The sequence below is a fragment of the Homo sapiens genome, chromosome 8, assembly GCF_000001405.40.
Source record: "Homo sapiens chromosome 8, GRCh38.p14 Primary Assembly".
NCBI lineage: Eukaryota > Metazoa > Chordata > Mammalia > Primates > Hominidae > Homo > Homo sapiens.
Genome location: NC_000008.11, coordinates 53755345 through 53773881, shown reverse-complemented (window position 1 = coordinate 53773881; position 18537 = coordinate 53755345). Strand labels below are relative to the sequence as shown.

The following is an 18537-nucleotide window of genomic DNA, read 5'->3' as shown; positions in this document are numbered from 1 at the left end:
TTTTATTTCAGAAATTGTAGTTTTACTTCTAGGATTTCTGTTTCTTTTTAAATAATTTATAAGTTTTTTGTTTGAAATTTTTCATGTATTGAAAGCATTTTATTTCATTGAGGATTTTTATAATAATTGCTTTGAAGTCTGTGTGTTCTAGTATCTGGTTCATTCTGGAGCTGTATTCAGATAGGATTTGGGTCTCCTTTCTTGCTCTTTGTTTTCTGGGGCTCCCCCCAGCCTTAGCCCTCAGTGTTCATGGTTTTCCAGCTTCACTTTTCTGGTTCCCCAGGCCAGAAAGACTATTTTTGGCTTTTCTGTGGCTTCTTTGCCACTGTGCCTTAGCTTCAGGATAAAAATTGCAGTGACAGGAACGTATTTGTATTGTTCCTTGACTTCCCTACTGTATGTGAGTATGAACTTCATACCAGATTCTGTCTGCTTCTATTTACTGTTTTTTTAAGTAGTTGCCTTTTCAGTCTGTTCAGGTTTTATAGTTGTTTTCTGCCAGAGAGAGGTTGGTTCAGTAGGTTCTTAAATCCATCGTACCTGAGTGGACATTCATGTTTTAGTTTTGAAGTAATTTTAAAAGCAAATTAATTTATACTGTTGCTGCTACTCTATTCATTATCTATTCATAATAAGGAGGATTGCAAGTAATTTCTGATATCTATAGATGTAAGCACTGAGTAGGAATATTAGGTTCACAAATATTTTATTATTGAATATCAACTCTGAGCCAAGCACTTGTGATAGAAAGAAAAATAAGGCAAACTACTCTCAGGGTACTTAAAATCTGGTAGAAACATAAAGGGAAGATTGGTGGGCATTGATTTCACTGACTTCCACATACTAAGCTAAATCACTTTTTGCATTTGTTCAGCCTTATTATTAGGGATAGAACTTACTTGTAAAAAGAAAAAAAAATTCAAGTTTTTTTACAATTGGAGTTAATTGTTACTGTTTTGTTTTTTTTTTTTTTTTTTTGCATTTGATAGGCTTTTTAAACTAGCTTGGTGAAAGTAGCTTTTTTTTAAAACAGAGGTCTGTCTTGTTGCTTCTTGTTCCAAGAGTTTAGCCTGGTCCTTACTCAGAAACATTGCTTAATTCCATGACAGCTTATTGTTATAAATTTGTGGATTATTTTGCCATTTTCTTAAGTACTCTTAAAAATAGAAAATCCTAGAAGAGAACTCGGGAATTTGCCCGAATGTCGCAAAACTTTTCTGATAATTGTTCAAACAAGGGAGTTTTAAAAATTGTTGTCCCTTGTGCTTACAGGTTGATTAGAGATGGGGGAAAATGGTGACAGACTGGGAACTGGAGAACTTGGCTTGATTGCAAACTTGAAGAAACACTCTCTCTTAGTATTGTATGTGCTCTAGGTGGGCAACAAATGAGAGCTCACAGCCAGAGCAAGTCCATGAAAAAGGACTGTGGTGGATTTCATTGTAAACGTGTTCAGTGTTGTAGGGCTCATCTGGGTCAAAAATTAAAGATGTTTAGTAATCCAGGAAATACAAAAATGATCAGAAGTAGGCTTCTGATATGGGACAGACACTCAGGAGCGAAGTAAGGATTTGAGATAGAGTCATCCACTTAAAGGTGATAGTTAAACTTGAGAATAGGAGGAGGAGAGAGACTATAAAAGAATGTGCAGAGGTCTCTGAATCCATCACATGACAAATTGTATAGTTTCTCACTATCACTTTGTCTAACCCAGAACTTTTTAGAAAAATCAACTGAAAGAGAAACTCGCCAAGAATATGCCCTGGCTATGATTCAGTGCAAAGTTCTGAAACAGTTGGAGAACTTGGAACAGCAGAAGTACGATGATGAAGATATCAGCGAAGATATCAAATTTCTTTTGGAAAAACTTGGAGAGAGTGTCCAGGACCTTAGGTGTGTTATTCTTTTTAATTCTCATGTGCTGGATCTGTTGGGCTTTGTTTGACTTGCATAGCATTTTAAGAAAACCTGAATTTGTTGTCACCTATACAAATCAAGAGAGTCCACTAAAATACGTTAATGTCTCCTGAGAAGACATCATTCTGACATGGCAACAATTGGTCAGAACTGTGTGTTATCTCTTCTTATTTACGGAGATTCCCACTGTTTTCTGCCGTCTAAACTCTGACCGGCTTTACTCCCTCAGGATGACTCCACCCTGGAGCTCCTCGAGTCTTCTCTTAGAGTCTTTTTAAGCAACAAAGGTAGTTTGTTAATTAGTGGAGGAGGTTTGCCTGTATATGGAGAAAGTATTTGTTTTCCTGCTTTTTGAAGGCCTTTTGGCTCATGTTTTAATATTAAAAATAATGTAAATAATGTATGTACAGTAAAGAATTAGCCACTATGGAAGGGACTCCATGCCACTCCCACCATCTTCACTGCCTCGCCTCACTCTCCCTCGGGTCTCTTGTGTTTGCTTCCAAAAAGCCTTCTAACCCCTCTCTGCCTGCCCCCTACAACCCACAAATTGGGCTCTGCATATTCTTTTGGATCTTGTTCTTTTTCTGTTTCGTACATAATATCTTGATGATCTTTTCCATTAACACTCATATTCTTTGTTTTTAAATTACCACTGGCATGTTTTTAAAAGAGTTACTCTCTGGAAATAGAAACTTCTCTTGGGTGGATTGGGGTTTGGAGCCAGGCTGATTCTTGGAATTGTTTGGCTACTTTTTCCCTGTGTGGCCTTGCACAAGTGTCTTGACTTTTTCAAGTCTGTTTTCCTTTTGGTAAAACAGTAATAAAAATGCTAACCTTGCAGGATTTGTTGTGAGGTTCCGTCTGCCCTGCAAATGCCTTCAGCATAGTATGTGCTCCAGAAATGTATTTACCAGATGATTCAGTACAGCCGTAATCCCAAGGCCCAAAGATTTCCCAGAGATGGGAGGTGTTATCTGTATCAGTGGTTTGTAATGGATTTTGTGGAGGAAGAAAAATGATTTTTATTATTCTAGATTTTCAAATATTTCAAATATGGATACATTGATTATAATAGGCAGGCCAGGAATAGGCTTCACAGCTATACATTCTGTTCCTATGTTTATTAAAAACTGATGACTGGTTCTCCGTAATAATCATTTAAGGCCTGTTTTTGCAAAAAATAAGATTAGTGATAGCTTTCTAAATGATTTAATCAATTTTAGCTAATTATTATTGATTATCTTGAATTTGGTAATTTGAAAAATACTATTTACATAAAGCTAATAGGGTGATGGGTGCAGCTAAAAGAGGCTTTTCTCTGTTTTTGCTGTTACAGGATTAGGATATGAATATTAAAAATACTTGTTTACTTCTTATACTAACTGGCCCTACATTAAAGTATTGTACTACTTTATTCAAATGGTACCCTCTGATCAACTTATCTAGTACATCCTGGTTATACCGAATTACTAGTAGTATTTGAATGGTTACATCTTTTATAAATTTTTACTTCAGAGAAAGTCCAAGTATGTTCTGACTGTGTTTGTCTACTGGCTAACCACATTAAACATTTTCCTACTGTAAAGCTTGGAATAATCAAGTTACTATCCAGTGAATGGTTTTTAAATTAAGGTGAATTGCAGTTTGTTATATGTACAGAGGCTTTTGTATTTAGTCTGTAATGGATTAATTCAATTAATTATGTCTACACTCTTTGTAATCACATTGTAAAATATTGTGCCAATAAGTGTGATTTTGTTTTTGTGATGTATTATTACAGTTTATGATATTTATAGTATAATATGAGTTTATTATGTTAAAGTACTATGCTTTTACATAACATATTATTTTGCCTGTTGGTCTGGGAAATACAGTATTTCAAGTGTCATGGTAGAAATTCTGATTATCAATTTTTTTGCTTATACACATTCATGTATATATTGGAGTAAGGATTTTGAAAGCAAGTGCTGATTTTTATGTCTCATACCCAGCATTCAAATTTGACAGGAGGGTTGGACCTTACTACACTGAATAAAATTTCACATGATTTATTAAAGATTATTTAAACTGTTTAAAGTTCGTTTGGTGGTAGTTTTTTAATGTACAAAGGATGGTCAGTCTTTGTAATTAAATAATAAGTGAAGACATTTTATTTTGCTTAATTTTGGAGTACTGTCAGATTCTTATAAACCTTGAATTCTTTTGAACATTTTTATAGTTCATTTGATGAATACAGTTCAGAACTTAAATCTGGAAGGTTGGAATGGAGTCCTGTGCACAAATCTGAGAAATTTTGGAGAGAGAATGCTGTGAGGTTAAATGAGAAGAATTATGAACTCTTGAAGTAAGTTTTTTGTTCTACTTTACACTCTTAATATCTGTTATCCCAAATCCTCACCAACACTCGTTTTTGTCACTCTAAATTTTAGATATTCTATGGTTTTAATTTGTATTTTCTTGCTGACTAATGTGGTTGAATGCCTTTTCATATCCTTTTGACCATCTGGACATCTCTTCTTGGAGAAGTGCCTGTTCAAGTCTATTTTCTTTCCTTCTACAGGAGTTCTATATGTATTCTGAACATGAAGTTGTTGTCTCATATATATATTTTCATCACAGCCATTTTGTCCCCACTCTGTTGCATGCCATTTTACTTTTTAATGGTGTCTTGATGAAGAGATGCTCTAAATTTCGATGTAGGTCAATTCATCAGTCTTTCCCTGTATGGCTAGTGCTTTTCTGTGTCCTGGTTAAGAAGTTTTTGCCTACTCAAGGTCATGAAGATGTCTTTATGTGATATCTCCTAGAAGCTTTATTGTTTAACTTCTTATATTTAGATACCCAGTCCATCTGGAATTGATTTTTGGGTAAGGGATAAAGTAGGAAACAGGATTTATTTTTTTCTTTCCATAGATATCTAATTGAACCAGCCCCATTTATTGAAAACACTTCCACCAGTGCCCTCCAGGTTTACCTTTGTCATAATAAGATGACTAATATGTGTAGGTTTCTTTCTTTTTTTAGTGAGGTATAATTTGTATAGCATACAATTCATCTGTTTAAACCGTAGAATTCAGTGGTTTTTAGTATATTCAGATATTTGTACCCATTGACAAAATCAGTTTAGAACATTTTCATTGCTTCAAAAAGAAACCCCATATCCTTTGGCCGTCACCTCTCTATCCACCCATCTACCTAGCCCTAAGTAACCACCAATATCTCGATTTGCCTGTTACAGAAATTTCATGTAAATGGAATCATATAATAGATTTTTTTTTGTGACTGGCTTCTTTCATGTACTGTAATGTGTTCAGGGCTCATCCATGTTGTGGAATTTATCACTACTTCATTCCTTTTTATGGTTGAATGATTTTCCGTTGTGGATAAGACCACATTTTATTTATTCACTCATCAGTTCATGGACTTTTGGGTTGTTTCTACCTTTTGGTTATTATAAATATTGCCAATAATACTTGTGGTATGAGTTGTTGTGTGGGTGTATGTTTTCATTTGTCTTGCTGTTAGATACTTGGGTGTGAAATTGCTGAGTCATATGTTAACTCTGTGATTAACCATTTGAGGAACTGCCAGACTGTTTTCCAAAGTGGCTACACAATTTTCTGTTCCCACCAACAGTGAATGAGGGTTCTGATATCTCCACATCTTTGCCAACGTTTATTATGACCTTTTTGATTCTAGCCACTCACACTGAGTGAGTGTGCAGTGATATCTCATTGTGGTGTCTATTTGTATTTCCTGATGGCTGATAATGTCAAGCATCTTTTCATGTGCTTATTGGCCATTTGTATATCTACTTTGGAGAAATGTCTGTTCAGATGCTTGGCTCATTTTTTAGTTGGATTGTCTTCTTATTACTTAGTTGTAGGGGTTCTTCATATATTCTGGATACAGGTCCAAGATCATATATGTGATTTGCAAATATTTTGTCTCATTTTGTGGGTTATCTTATCACTTTGTTGATAGTGTCCTTTGAAGCACAAAAGTTTTAAAATTTCGATCAAGTCTAATTTGTTGTTTCCTTAGTTTCTCATGCTTTTGGTCTGTTGCCAAAACTGATTTACTCCCATGTTTTCACAATATTTTTATAGATTTAGTTCTTACATTTGGGTTCTTGATCCATTTTGAGTTAATTTTTGTATATGGTATGAAGTAAGGTTCCAACTTCTTTCTTTTGCATGTGGCTATCCTGTTGTCCTAAGTACTATTTGTTGAAAAGATTGTTCTTTACCTATTGAATTATCTTGGCATCCTTGTGGAAAATCAATTGACTATAGACATGGGTTTATTTCTGAACTCTCTGTTGGTCAGTAAGATTACTGTGATAGTAGTACCACACTGTTTTGATTGCTGTTGCTTTATAGTCAGTTTGGAAAACAGGAAGTATGACTCTTATACCTTTTTTCTTTTTATAAAAAAAAAGAGTGTATCTTTATTTAATGAGTCTCTAATTGGTAGATATTTTAAATTGTTACTAGAGTTTGCTGTCACACACAGTGTGAGAATTACTAATATATACTTTACTACAACTTTTAAAATAGACTTTAATTTTTAGAACAATTTTAGATTCACAGAAAAATTGAGCAAAAAGTAGAGTGCTTTCATATGCTACCTCTACCTCCACCAACACACAGTTTCCTGTTTCTAACATCCTGTTTTTAGCATTAGTGTGGTACATTTGTTACAATTGATGAACTAATATTGATATGTTATTATTAACTAAAATTCATACATAGTTTGCATTAGGATTCTTTTGGGGAACCTGCCCCGAAAATCACGTAGGTTCTTTTCTATTTTCCTAAGTGTCAGCTGGCTTGAGAAATAAAGGGACAGAGTACAAAAGAGAGAAATTTTAAAGCTGGGCATCCGGGGAAGACATCACACGTTGGTAGGATCCGTGATGCCCCACAAGCCACAAAAACCAGCAAGTTTTTATTAGGGAGTTTCAAAAGGGGAGGGAGTGTGCGAATAGGTGTGGGTGACAGACATCAAGTTCTTAACAGGGTAATAGAATATCACAAGGCCAGTGGAGGCAGGGCAAGATCACAGGACCACAGGACTAAGGCGAAATTAAAATTGCTAATGAAGTTTCAGGCACCATTGTCATTGATAACATCTTATCAGGAGACAGGGTTTTGAGATCAACCGGTCTGACCAAATTTATTAGGCAGGAATTTCCTCTTCCTAATAAGCCTGGGAACGCTATGGGAGACTGGAGTTTATTTCACCTCTGCAGTCTCAACCATAAGAGACAGGTACACCCTGGGGGGGCCAGTTCAGAGACCTACCCCTAGGTGCGCATTCTCTTTCTCAGGGATATCCCATGCTGAGAAAAAGAATTCAGCGATATTTCTCCCATTTGCTTTTAAAAGAGGAGAAATACGGCTCTGTTCTGCCCTGCTCACCAGTGGTCAGAGTTTAAGGTTATCTCTCTTATTCCCTGAACAATTGCTATTATCCTGTTCTTTTTTCAGGGTGCCCACATTTCATAATGCTCAAACACACATGCTGTACAATTTGTGTAGTTAACGTAATTATTACAGGGTCCTGAGACGATATACATCCTCCTCAACTGACAGGATTAAGAGATTAAATTAAAGACAGGCATAGGAAATCACAAGGGTATTGATTGGGGAAGTGATAAGTGTCCATGAAATCTTTACAATTTATGTTTAGAAATTGCAGTAAAGACAGGCATGAGAAATTACAAAAGTATTAATTTGGGGAACTAATAAATGTCCATAAAATCTTCACAATCCACGTTCTTCTGCCATGGCTTCAGCCGGTCCCTCCGTTTGGGGTCCCTGACTTCCCGCAACAGGATTCACTCTTTGTATTGTGTAGTTTCCTCATTATGAACTTTTCAACTTTGTGTATAGCTCTGTGGGTTTTGACAAGACTATCTTTGCTCCAATGAATTGCCCTTGCTCTGTTAAAAGATCAGTTGACTATATTTGTGTGGGTCTATTTCTGGGCTCTCTGTTCTGTTTCAGCGATCTATTTGTCTATTCTTTTACCAATACCACATTCTTTTGAGTACTGTGGCTTTATAGTAAATCTTGAAGTTGGTAGTGTCAGTCCTCTGACTTTGTTGTTCTTTAATATTGTGCTGGCCATTCTGAGTCTTTTGCTTTTCCATAACTTTAGAATATATGGAAACAAACATTAGTTTGTCAGTATCTACAAAATAACTTGCCAGGATTTTGATTGGGATTGCATTGAATCTGTAAATCAAGTTGGGAACAGTTGATATCTTGACAGTATAGAGTCTTTCTACTTGTGAACGTGGAATATCTGTTTATTTGTTTCAATTTTCTTTGATTTCTTTCATTTGGCTTTTGTTTTCCTCTTATAGATCTTGCACATATTTTGTTACATTTATACCTAAGTATTTCTCTTTCTTTCTTTCTTTCTTTTTTTTTGGTGCTAATGCTGATGGTCTTGTGTGTGTGTGTGTGTGTGTGTGTGTGTGTGTGTGTGTGTGTGTGTTGTTGTTGTTGTTGTCCACCACCCTCCCCGCCCTGCCCTTTTTTTTTTTTTTTTTGAGACAGAGTCTCACTCTGTTGTCCAGGCTGGAGTGCAATAGCGCAATTTCAGCTTACTGCAGCCTCCGCCTCCCGGGTGCAAGATTCTCCAGCCTCAGCCTCCTAAGTAGCTGGGATTACAGGCGCGCACCACCACGCCCAGCTCATTTTTGTATTTTTAGTAGAGACGGGGTTTCACCATGTTGGCCAGGCCAGTCTCTAACTCCTGACCTCGTGATCTGCCCACCTCAGCCTCCCAAAGTCCTGGGATTACAGATGGGAGCCACCATGCCTGGCCTTCCCCCGCCTTTTTAAGAGGCAGGATCTAGCTCTGTCACCCAGATTGGAGTGAAGTGGTGCGATCATAGCTAACTGTAACATCAAACTTCTGGGCTCAAGAGATCCTCCCATCTCAGCCTCTTGAGCAGCTAGGACTACAGGCACATACCACCATGCCCGGCTATTTTGTTTTTGTTAAATTTTTGTGGAGATGGGATGTCACTCTGTTGCACAGGTTGGTCTCGAACTCCTGGCCTCACAGCAGTCCTCCCATCTCTGCCTTCCAAAATGCTAGGATTATAGGCATGAGCCACCATGCTTGGCCTAGTGCTGTGTTTTTAATTTGAAATTCCAGTTGTTCAGAGATAGTGTATGGGAAAACAACTGACTCATAGATGTACCTTGTATCCTGCGACTTTGCTGTAATTATTTCTTTTATTTCCTTTTTTGTCTTATTACACTTAATGATACTTCCAATATGATGGTGAATAGAGTGATGAGAGGGTACATCCTTGCGTTGCTTCTGATCTTAGGGAGGAAAGCATCTAGTTTCTCATTATTCAGTATGATACTAACTATAGATTTTTTTTTTTGCACATCATCTTTATCTGATAAAGTTGAGAATGTTTCCCTCTATTCCTAATTTGCTGAGAGTTTTTATCATGAATGGATGTTAAATTTGTCAAATAATTTTCCTGACTCTATTGATATGATTTTTCTTTTTTAGCCTGTTGATGTGATGGGCTACATTAATTGATTCTCAAATATTACGCTAGCCTTGCATACCCGGACTCAATCCTGTTTGGTCATAGTTTATAATTCGTTTTATATGTTATTAGATTTGATTTGCCAATATTTTTGTTGAGGATTTTTGCATCTATGTTCATGAGAGATAGTGCTCTGTAAATTTCCTTTCTTGTGATGTTTTTTTCTGATTTTGGGATTATGGTAATGTTGGTCTCATAGAATGAGTTAAGAGGTGTTCCCGCTGCTTCTTTTTCTGGAAGAGACTGTAGAGAATTGGTATTGTTTACTTCTTAAATGTTTGACATAATTTACCAGTGAGAACATGTGGGCCTGTTGCTTTCTGTTTTGTAAGGTTATTAATTACTCATTTCTTTAATAGATACAGGCCTATTCAGATTATCCACTTCTCCTTAGGTGAGCACTGTGAAGGCCACCTAACTTCCATAAGACTGGACTCCTTGGGGTTTTTATTTCTCTAGCTAGTTCTTGTTAAATCTTTAGCAATGAGTCAGTTACCCTTTAAGTGTTTCTACCAGTTGATAGATCCAACAGCAGTTTCTGCTGCCAATAAGCTTTGATTCTCTGTCACCCATCTCTCTAGCTTCCAGGGAGATGGTTTGTCCTGGGACCTCAGTTCTCTGATGGTTCCTGATGGATCTAAGAAGACTTGTTTTGTTCAGCATTTTTTTTTTTCCTGCTGTGAGGATTGGAGTGATGATTTCCAAGCTCTTTACATGCTGTACCAGAAACTGGAAGTCTGCTCTTTTGTTTCCAAGATGATTTTGGCTATCTGGGTCCCTTAACATTTTATATGAATTTTAGAATCACCTTGTTAAAATCTACAAGGAACCCAGTTTGGACTAATAGGGATTCTGTTGAAGCTGTAAGTCAGTTTGAGGAGTATTTGGTATTCAGATCCATGAACCTGGGATGTTTTCTGATTTGTTTACATCGTATTTAATTTCTTTCAACAGTGTTTTGTAGATTTCAGAAAATAAGTTTTGCATGTCTTTTGTTAAATTTATTTCTAAATATTTTGTCCTTTTGATGCTATTGTAAATGAAGTTGTTTTCTTCTTTTTCAATTATTTATTGCAAGTTTATAGAAAAACAATTGAGTTTTGTAGATTGAACTTATGAAACCTTTGTCTTTATTGGATTCCTTTGCATCTTCTGTCTGCTGTTGGCCCTTGAAAATGCAGGAATTAGGGATGCCGACCCTCCTCCCCCACAGTCAAAAAGCCGTGTATAACTTTTAGCTTCCCCAAAACTTAACTACTAATAACTTCCTGTTGACTAGAAGCCTCACTGATAAGAAACAGTTGATTAACACATATTTTGAATGTTACATGTATTATATACTGTATTCTTACAATAAAGTAAACTAGAGAAAAAATGTTATTAAGAAAATCATAAGAAAGAGAAGATATATTTACTGTCCATTAAGTGGAAGTGGATCATTGTAAAGGTCTTCATCCTCCTTGTCGTCATGTTGAGTAAGCTGAGAAAGAGAACATGTTGATGTTGCTGTTTCAGGGGTGGCAAATGGGTGTAAGAAAATCCATGTGTAAGTGGACCTGTGCAGTTCAGATTTGTGCTGTTCAATGGTCAACTGTACAAGATTATGTCATCTGTGAATAGAGAGTTTTACTTCTCACTTTTTCAATCTGAGTGCCTTTTATTTCTTTTTTTTTGCCCAGTTGCCCTGGTTAGAACCTCTCCTATGCAAATGTGTTTATGAATTCTTTGTTCTATTCCATCATCTATTTGTTTATTCTTACTCCAATACTATGTTATATTAATTGCTGTTCATTATTTTCTGTCTTGGTGTCTGATAGTATGAGCATGAGCATGCCTGTTCTTCCAAGGTGTCTTGGTGCTTTCTGGACTCCTGCATTTCTGTATGCATTTTAGAATCAGCTTGTCAAACAAATGGTTTGACGGGTATTTCGATTGGGATTGAAGCCATAGTTTATTCTAGGGGGAATTGATATTATTTTAATTTGGAAGGAGGGTCCTCCAATCCATGAACATGGTAGTATATCCCTTCATTCATGTAGGATTTCCTTTGGATAATGTTACACTGTTGTCTTTCATTAAATTTATTCCTTTGTGTGTGATTTTTTTTTTTTAGTGTTCCTATAGATCTTGTATTACAGTTTTTCACCTTCTACCTCAACTTCATTGGAACTTTTTGTGATGATAGAAGTAGTTTATATCTGTGCTGCTCAATACAATAGTTTGTCACTAAAGAGCACTGGAAATGTTCTTGGTAGCTGAGAAACTAAATTTTTATCAATTTAACTTTAAAACAAACCACATGTGGCTAATGGTTGTCATATGAGGCAGCAAAGTTTGAGTCTGGTATCTAAAAATACCGGTATAAATAGTTCTGTGTTGTAAATCAGGTTGCTCCTTGGCTTACCTCCCTGCCAGCTTGGTATTTGGTTTTCTCATGTTTAACATTTGTTCTTCTGACTTTCCGCTTCAATATTTTATTGTTTTTGTTTCACTTCCCATTTTGTCCTTCCTTATAGATTTATACTTTTAAGAAATCCTCTTATTGTCATTTAAATGAGGCATCCAGATGGAGCATTTTTAGGCCCACCTATCTCTGTTGTTTAGACTCCATTTTCTGTGTATTACTGAAAATGATACATTATTCTCATTTAAACAAAATGGCAAATCAAAGTGAGTGGTTGATGTCAGCAAGACTGACAGAATAGGAAGTGGGAAGGAGTGGATTAGTTTTTCACTGTTACCTTATGACTTTGAGTTTTAACAACAGAAAGAGCTTGGAGGTTTTTTTTAAATCTAGTGTTTAGAAAACTTGAATATAGTGGAGGGGAACGTTTTACAAGTTATTACAAAAGCATTATGCATATCTTTATTATGATACACTTAAAGAGACTTTTGAAAAGGGTACTTTCTATTTTCTGGTGTTAGGTTTTAATTTTTGTGGCTTCTTCAGATTACTCCCTTTACCTTTGTATGACACTGTGATTTTTCTGAATAACCAGGAACAATGGTATATGGTATTTTTCTTTTTTTTTTTTTTGAGACGGAGTCTCGCTCTGTTGCCCAGGCTGGAGTGCAGTGGCGCGATCTCGGCTCACTGCAAGCTCCACCTCCTGGGTTCACGCCATTCTCCTGCCTCAGCCTCCCGAGTACCTGGGACTACAGGTGCCTGCCACCACACCCAGCTAATTTTTTCTATTTTTTAGTAGAGACAGGGTTTCACCGTGTTAGCCAGGATGGTCTCGATCTCCTGACCTCGTGATCTGCCCACCTCGGCCTCCCAAAGTGCTGGGATTACAGGCGTGAGCCACCGCGCCTGGCTAGTATATGGTATTTTTCTTTTATGTTTATATGATGATGAGAAATTTGAAATTATTGTTTGTTTGTCTTTAGTTTTTATTCTTGTTAATGGAGAAACCAAACTCCGTGAAATATTTTAAAGAGGCTTCTTCTGAGCCAATATGAGTGACCACCATCTTGGGAAAAACAGTCTTAAGGAGCCCTGAGAAAGTGTAGCTGATTTCTGTTTTACATTAATGGTGGCCAGTTGTGCCTAAACTCCGAAAGGGAAGGGGTATTATGAGTTTTTTCTGATCCCTCTTCCCATCATAGCCTGAAACTCAGTTTTTGAGGTTTCTCTGGGGTCCCCTTGGCCCAGAAGGGAGTCTGTTCTGTCAGTGGGGTTGTTACCAGTTGTGAATCTGTATGGGTCTGCAGCAACGTGATCCTTGCCTCCTTGGAGGAAATAATTCTGCTGAGGGGCAGAAATAGGTTTAAGGCAGAGTAAGAGACCAGGGCAAATTTTAGAGCAGAAGTGAAGGCTTATTAAAAAAGTTTTAGAACAGGAATATAAGGAAATAAAGTACACTTGGAAGAGGGCCAAGTGGATGACTTGGGAGATCCAACTGCCCTGTTCTGCCCTTGACTTGGGGTTTTATACATTGGCATAGTTCCGGGGTTTCCATTTCTCTTCCCTCGATGTTTCCCTTGGGCTGGGCTGTCATGTTCAGTGTCCTGCCAGCACTTGGGAGGGGCCACATGCACAGTATGTTTACTGAAGTTGTGTGCATGCTCACTTGAGGCATTTTTCCCTTATCAGTTGAGCATTCCTAGAGGAAGGTCATATACTGGTTAAACTCTGCCACTTTGCACCTTACTGTGCATGCTTGAGCCTGCCCACCCCACTCTTGAGATATTATTGGGAAGCTGCTGATCACCAGCTTCAGGTGTTTTCTATCTGTTGGAAGACTGTCGTTCCCTGGCACCAGCTGCAACCAATTATTATCTTAGAGTGGCAGCTTAACAACCCCCTGACTTGATGGTCACCTGACATTCTTTACATTCTTATAAATTATATGCATGAGATGAATGACAGGTACTAGTGCTGCCCAATAAGATAGATCTGGATGAAATCTTTATTTGATTCTGCTGTTTAAAAAGCATCATGCATACTGGTCTTCCTTTTATCTGTGGATAACCACACTTACGTCAGGTAATTCCACACTTAGCAAGTATAAAAGTTAATTTTTCCCTCTCACTTTTGAAGTATACAGAAAATACCTTGTAGCTTGTATGTTAGTAGTTTTGAAATAAATATATATTTTGAGTAAGAAAATATTCTGAAATATAAGAAGCCGTGGAGATAGAAGAAAAGCAAAAACTGAGAGAGAAAACAAGTTTCTAAAACTGAGGAAAACATTGTGAAAGAGAATGAACATATTTGTTGAATGATCAATTAGAATAATAATGTAAATTCTAATTTGATTTGAACAGATGCTTTTCAAGATTACATTTCTAGCTAATGTCGAGGCAGAATTCACATTTGGTCTAACTACAGAGCTGTGGTGTGTTGCTGCCTGGATCCATTGGACTATTTGATAGAATCATGGGTTGTGGTTAACGTGGCAATAGAGGTTTGGATTGTGGTTGATGAATCTATTGTTGACTTAACTGTATTCAGAGACATCTTGGAGGGAGTTCTCTCATTGCATACCATAAAATGTCTTTTTTTGAACCTGTTCTTTTGAAGAACATTTTAATTGACGATTTGACACAGAAATAGCATGCTCAGCAGGTTTACAGCTAATAATACAAAAATGTTTTCATTGTTGCTGAAGATATTCAGTGGACTTAATGGTCCTGAAGGGTAACAATTAAAATCATGTCCACATTTTGCAGATTTGACTAGAAAGCCTGTGATTCCTTCCAGTTCTAACATTATCTGACTCTAAGGCTGTGCTTCTCAAATGTTAATGGAGATCTTGTTAAAATGCAGATTCTAATTCAGTAGTCCTAGATTAGGGTCTGTGATCAGCATTTCTAAGTAACCAGGTGATGCCCATGCTGCTGGTGTGTACACCATATTTTGGGTATCAGGGTCTCAGCCATATGGAGAATGGCTTAAGTCACTGAGAATAGTTTAAGGCAGGGATTGGCAACGTGATTTGGGAAAGACCAAGGTAGTAAATATTTTAGACTTTTTGAACCATTTTGTTTCTGTCCCAAATTACTCAACTCTGCCATTGCAGTGCCAGCTATGGACACCAAGTAAACTAATGAGCCTGGCTGTGTTCCAGTAAAACATTTACAAAAACAGATGGCATCTGGGTTTGGACTTGAGCTGTTATTTCCTGACTTCTGGTTTGATGTATTCAGAATGTCAGTCTTAAATAACGAAATTCTGAAAATAAGATTAAATACAGAGATTGTTCAAGCTCAAAGCTTGAAGATGGCTACCTGGGAGCATAGATTCAACTTGCCTTGAATATGCACTCCAATTAGTAGCAGTTACAAGTGGGCTTTTAAGGGAAAAAGAAGAGGCACTTCCTAAGTCGTTTGCCAAGAATTTACATTAAAATGACATAAACTGTTGATTAGCTGTACATTGATCTTTGTATCACAAATTCCAGGAACACGAGGGTAATGAGTGGGATAGTTAGGGACAAAATGCCTTTAAATAATTGCCCTTGGACCCACACTCTTGTTTCTGGGTGTGAAAAATGTTATATATTTCACATAGCTCTGACGACTCTGAGCTATTTTTCTTTTCTTGAGAACAAATGTTATATTTTAAATAATTTTCGTTAATGCAATTTGCTTATAATTTCATAAAATTTCTTAATATTTAAATTATTGAAATAAAAACAAAGAAGTAATTTTTTGAAATTATCAAAATGTTTCAGTTGAATTAAATTTAATGTAATTTTAGAATAATTTGCAAGTTAGCCTTTTAAAAACACACATAGTTTGAAATGTTAAAAATATTAATAGATATATGAAAAACTGAATATGTCTTGTTTCATCTTGAAGGCAGAGAGAACTAAAGTGGAAAGGTTTCTTCACTGCTCTTCAATCTCAGACTCTTCCTGAGGAGGAACTAGGGTCAGCAGGCCATAGTCTCTTCCGGTGCCTAGGCATACCTTACCTACATCTTTATATACCTTTACTTATACATGTTATCAGACTAAATGTATTAATTTGTGACCTGTCATTTTTACTTCCTATGGCTTGAAGTCATTTAACATGACTGTCTTAATACATATTACAATGGCAGGTGGTGATTAGTACTATGAAGAACAGTGGAGTAGGAGAGGAGAATGGTGGGGAGAGTACTGCCTTAGGGTAATCGTGGGCTCTTATACAAGAGATGACATTTGAGCTGAAAACTGAATATTGTGTCTCAGTGTACTAGTGGGTTCAGTTGGCTAATTTAAGTTTGTGTGTATCTATTTCTGAGTTGCTGGGGTATTAGAAAGAGTTGTTTTTATATATTGGTCTTCTACCAAGCCATTTAAAAAACATTCATTCTGACTGGTTATCACAGTTACGCTCTGCTTTTAGAATGAATTGAGAAGTTTTCCATCTATTTCTAGGCCCTTGAGCATTAAAATAACAGAGGAGCAACCTATTCCTTGAATGATCTCTGCTTGCACACATGAGGAAGGTAGTCCTTTCCAAGCTCCTTGGATTCTGAGCAGCACCATCTCCCTCCCCTTTCACTCCCAAGGGCACATGCACATCTTGGGTAGCTGCACCCACCCTCAGTGGTCCTTGAGGAGGGTAGCAGAAGCCGGGGCAGGGGGAGCCTTCTTTGCTGCTGGTTCCTGGCTCCTGTTCTCAGAAGTACCCGTCAGGCTCCAGTGACAATTTATGTGGTTGTATTGGAGAAAGTACCAGAAGGGCAAGGTGACAGGATGGTGGATTTGGGCTGCCATCTTTTCTCTTGCTGTTATGGACTTCACTGTTTGGAAAGTATATGTTCCACTCTTCTGTTAGAGTTGGGGCAAGAGAGAGGGGAAGACGTGTGTGCTTAGTGCTCAGTCCACCCTCTTATCATCGAGCACTGAAAGTCACTTGTCCCAGTAGTACCAGTAGGTCCTAGGGTTTATAAATGGCTTATGAAAATATATATAATTGGAAAAGATCTATTGGTAGTTTTGTGTTAAAATAACTTTTATTCATGTTCTAGTTTTCTTGAGGGGGGAGTCCCTGATATTTTGGAAATTGTGCATGGTGTACATTGTGAATCTGAAAGAAACTTGTTATATATGTTTGAAGGTTTGAAAACTGCAAACTTATGTCTAATAGTGAAATCCTTAGAAGAATATGAATATATTAATAAATGTCTATTTTCAGGAAGATATCTTCATTATACCTGTGCTCTGTTGTAGTCTATAGAAAAATTAGAACTTGATCTCTCTTTGGATAAAATTTATTTCAGAATCTTGACAAAACTTTTGGAAGTGTCAGATGATCCCCAAGTCTTAGCTGTTGCTGCTCACGATGTTGGAGAATATGTGCGGCATTATCCACGAGGCAAACGGTAAGAGAAAGCCATTCATTTCATTTGGTTTCTTGAAACCTTCAGTGTAGAGTCCTAAATAATGTACTTATCTAAAATGGAGTAGGTTAGCAAAGGAACTAACAAAGCAAATGAAATCAAGATTGCCACAATAGTGAGAATTATGATAAACCCAGTTAAAAATGAGTAGTATAGGCCGGTTGCAGTGGCTCACGCCTGTAATACCACCACTTTGGGAGGCCGAGGCAGGCAGATCACAAGGTCAGGAGACCATCCTGGCTAAGATGGTGAAACCCCTTCTCTACTAAAAATACAAAAAAAAAAAAAAAAGAAAAAAATTAACTGGGCATGGTGGCACGCGCCTGTAGTCCCAGCTACTCAGGAGGCTGAGGCAGAAGAACTGCTTGAACCCAGGAGGCGAAGGTTGCAGTGAGCTGAGATCGTGCCACTGCACTCCAGCCTGGGCGACAGAGCAAGATTGTGTCTCAAAAAAAAAAAAAAAAAAAGAAAAGAAAAAGAATAGTATAAAAATATATCACGCCTGTAATCCCAGCACTTTGGGAGGCCGAGGCGGGCGGATCACAAGGTCAGGAGATCGAGACCATCCCGGCTAAAACGGTGAAACCCCGTCTCTACTAAAAATACAAAAAATTAGCCGGGCGTAGTGGCGGGCGCCTGTAGTCCCAGCTACTTGGGAGGCTGAGGCAGGAGAATGGCGTGAACCCGGGAGGCGGAGCTTGCAGTGAGCCGAGATCCCGCCACTGCACTCCAGCCTGGGCGACAGAGCGAGACTCCGTCTCAAAAAAAAAAAAAAAAAAAAAAAAAAAAAAATATATATATATATATATATATATATATATATATATATATATATATATATATATATATATGTACGCTGGTATAATACTACTGTGTAGATCACATTAGATATTTCATGTTAATGATTTGGTAGCCATTTTGCGAGCACTGGCTATTTTTTGTCTTACTATTTGTACTTACAGAGATGAATGAAGCATAAAATATTTACTTATCTGGCCCTTAGGAAAAGAATCGCCACTCCCACCCCCACCCCCCGTAACCTAATCATAAGGGAAAGGGCTGCTTGGTTAGTGCTTGCCAAGTCTCTGTGTAGTGACTCACGCACACTAAAGACGGAAACTTAATGGATTTCTGTAAGTTTTGCAGAAGTACGCTTGTCCCTTTTGTACTTGGCCCTTTCAGACCAAATACC

The 18537-nt window shown here is 37.3% G+C and overlaps 1 protein-coding gene across 5 annotated transcripts in view; it reads left to right on the top strand.

The window, feature by feature from the left end:
• ATP6V1H (ATPase H+ transporting V1 subunit H) overlaps nucleotides 1–18537 on the top strand; it is a 127703-nt gene that overhangs the window by 69364 nt on the left and 39802 nt on the right. For all 5 annotated transcript variants that reach the window (NM_213619.3, NM_015941.4, XM_006716455.4 and 2 more), the window contains 3 exons: nucleotides 1715–1893; nucleotides 4139–4264; nucleotides 17226–17327. In NM_213619.3, coding sequence (NP_998784.1) covers nucleotides 1715–1893; nucleotides 4139–4264; nucleotides 17226–17327 — 407 coding nt within the window. The remainder of the gene's footprint in view (nucleotides 1–1714; nucleotides 1894–4138; nucleotides 4265–17225; nucleotides 17328–18537) is intronic.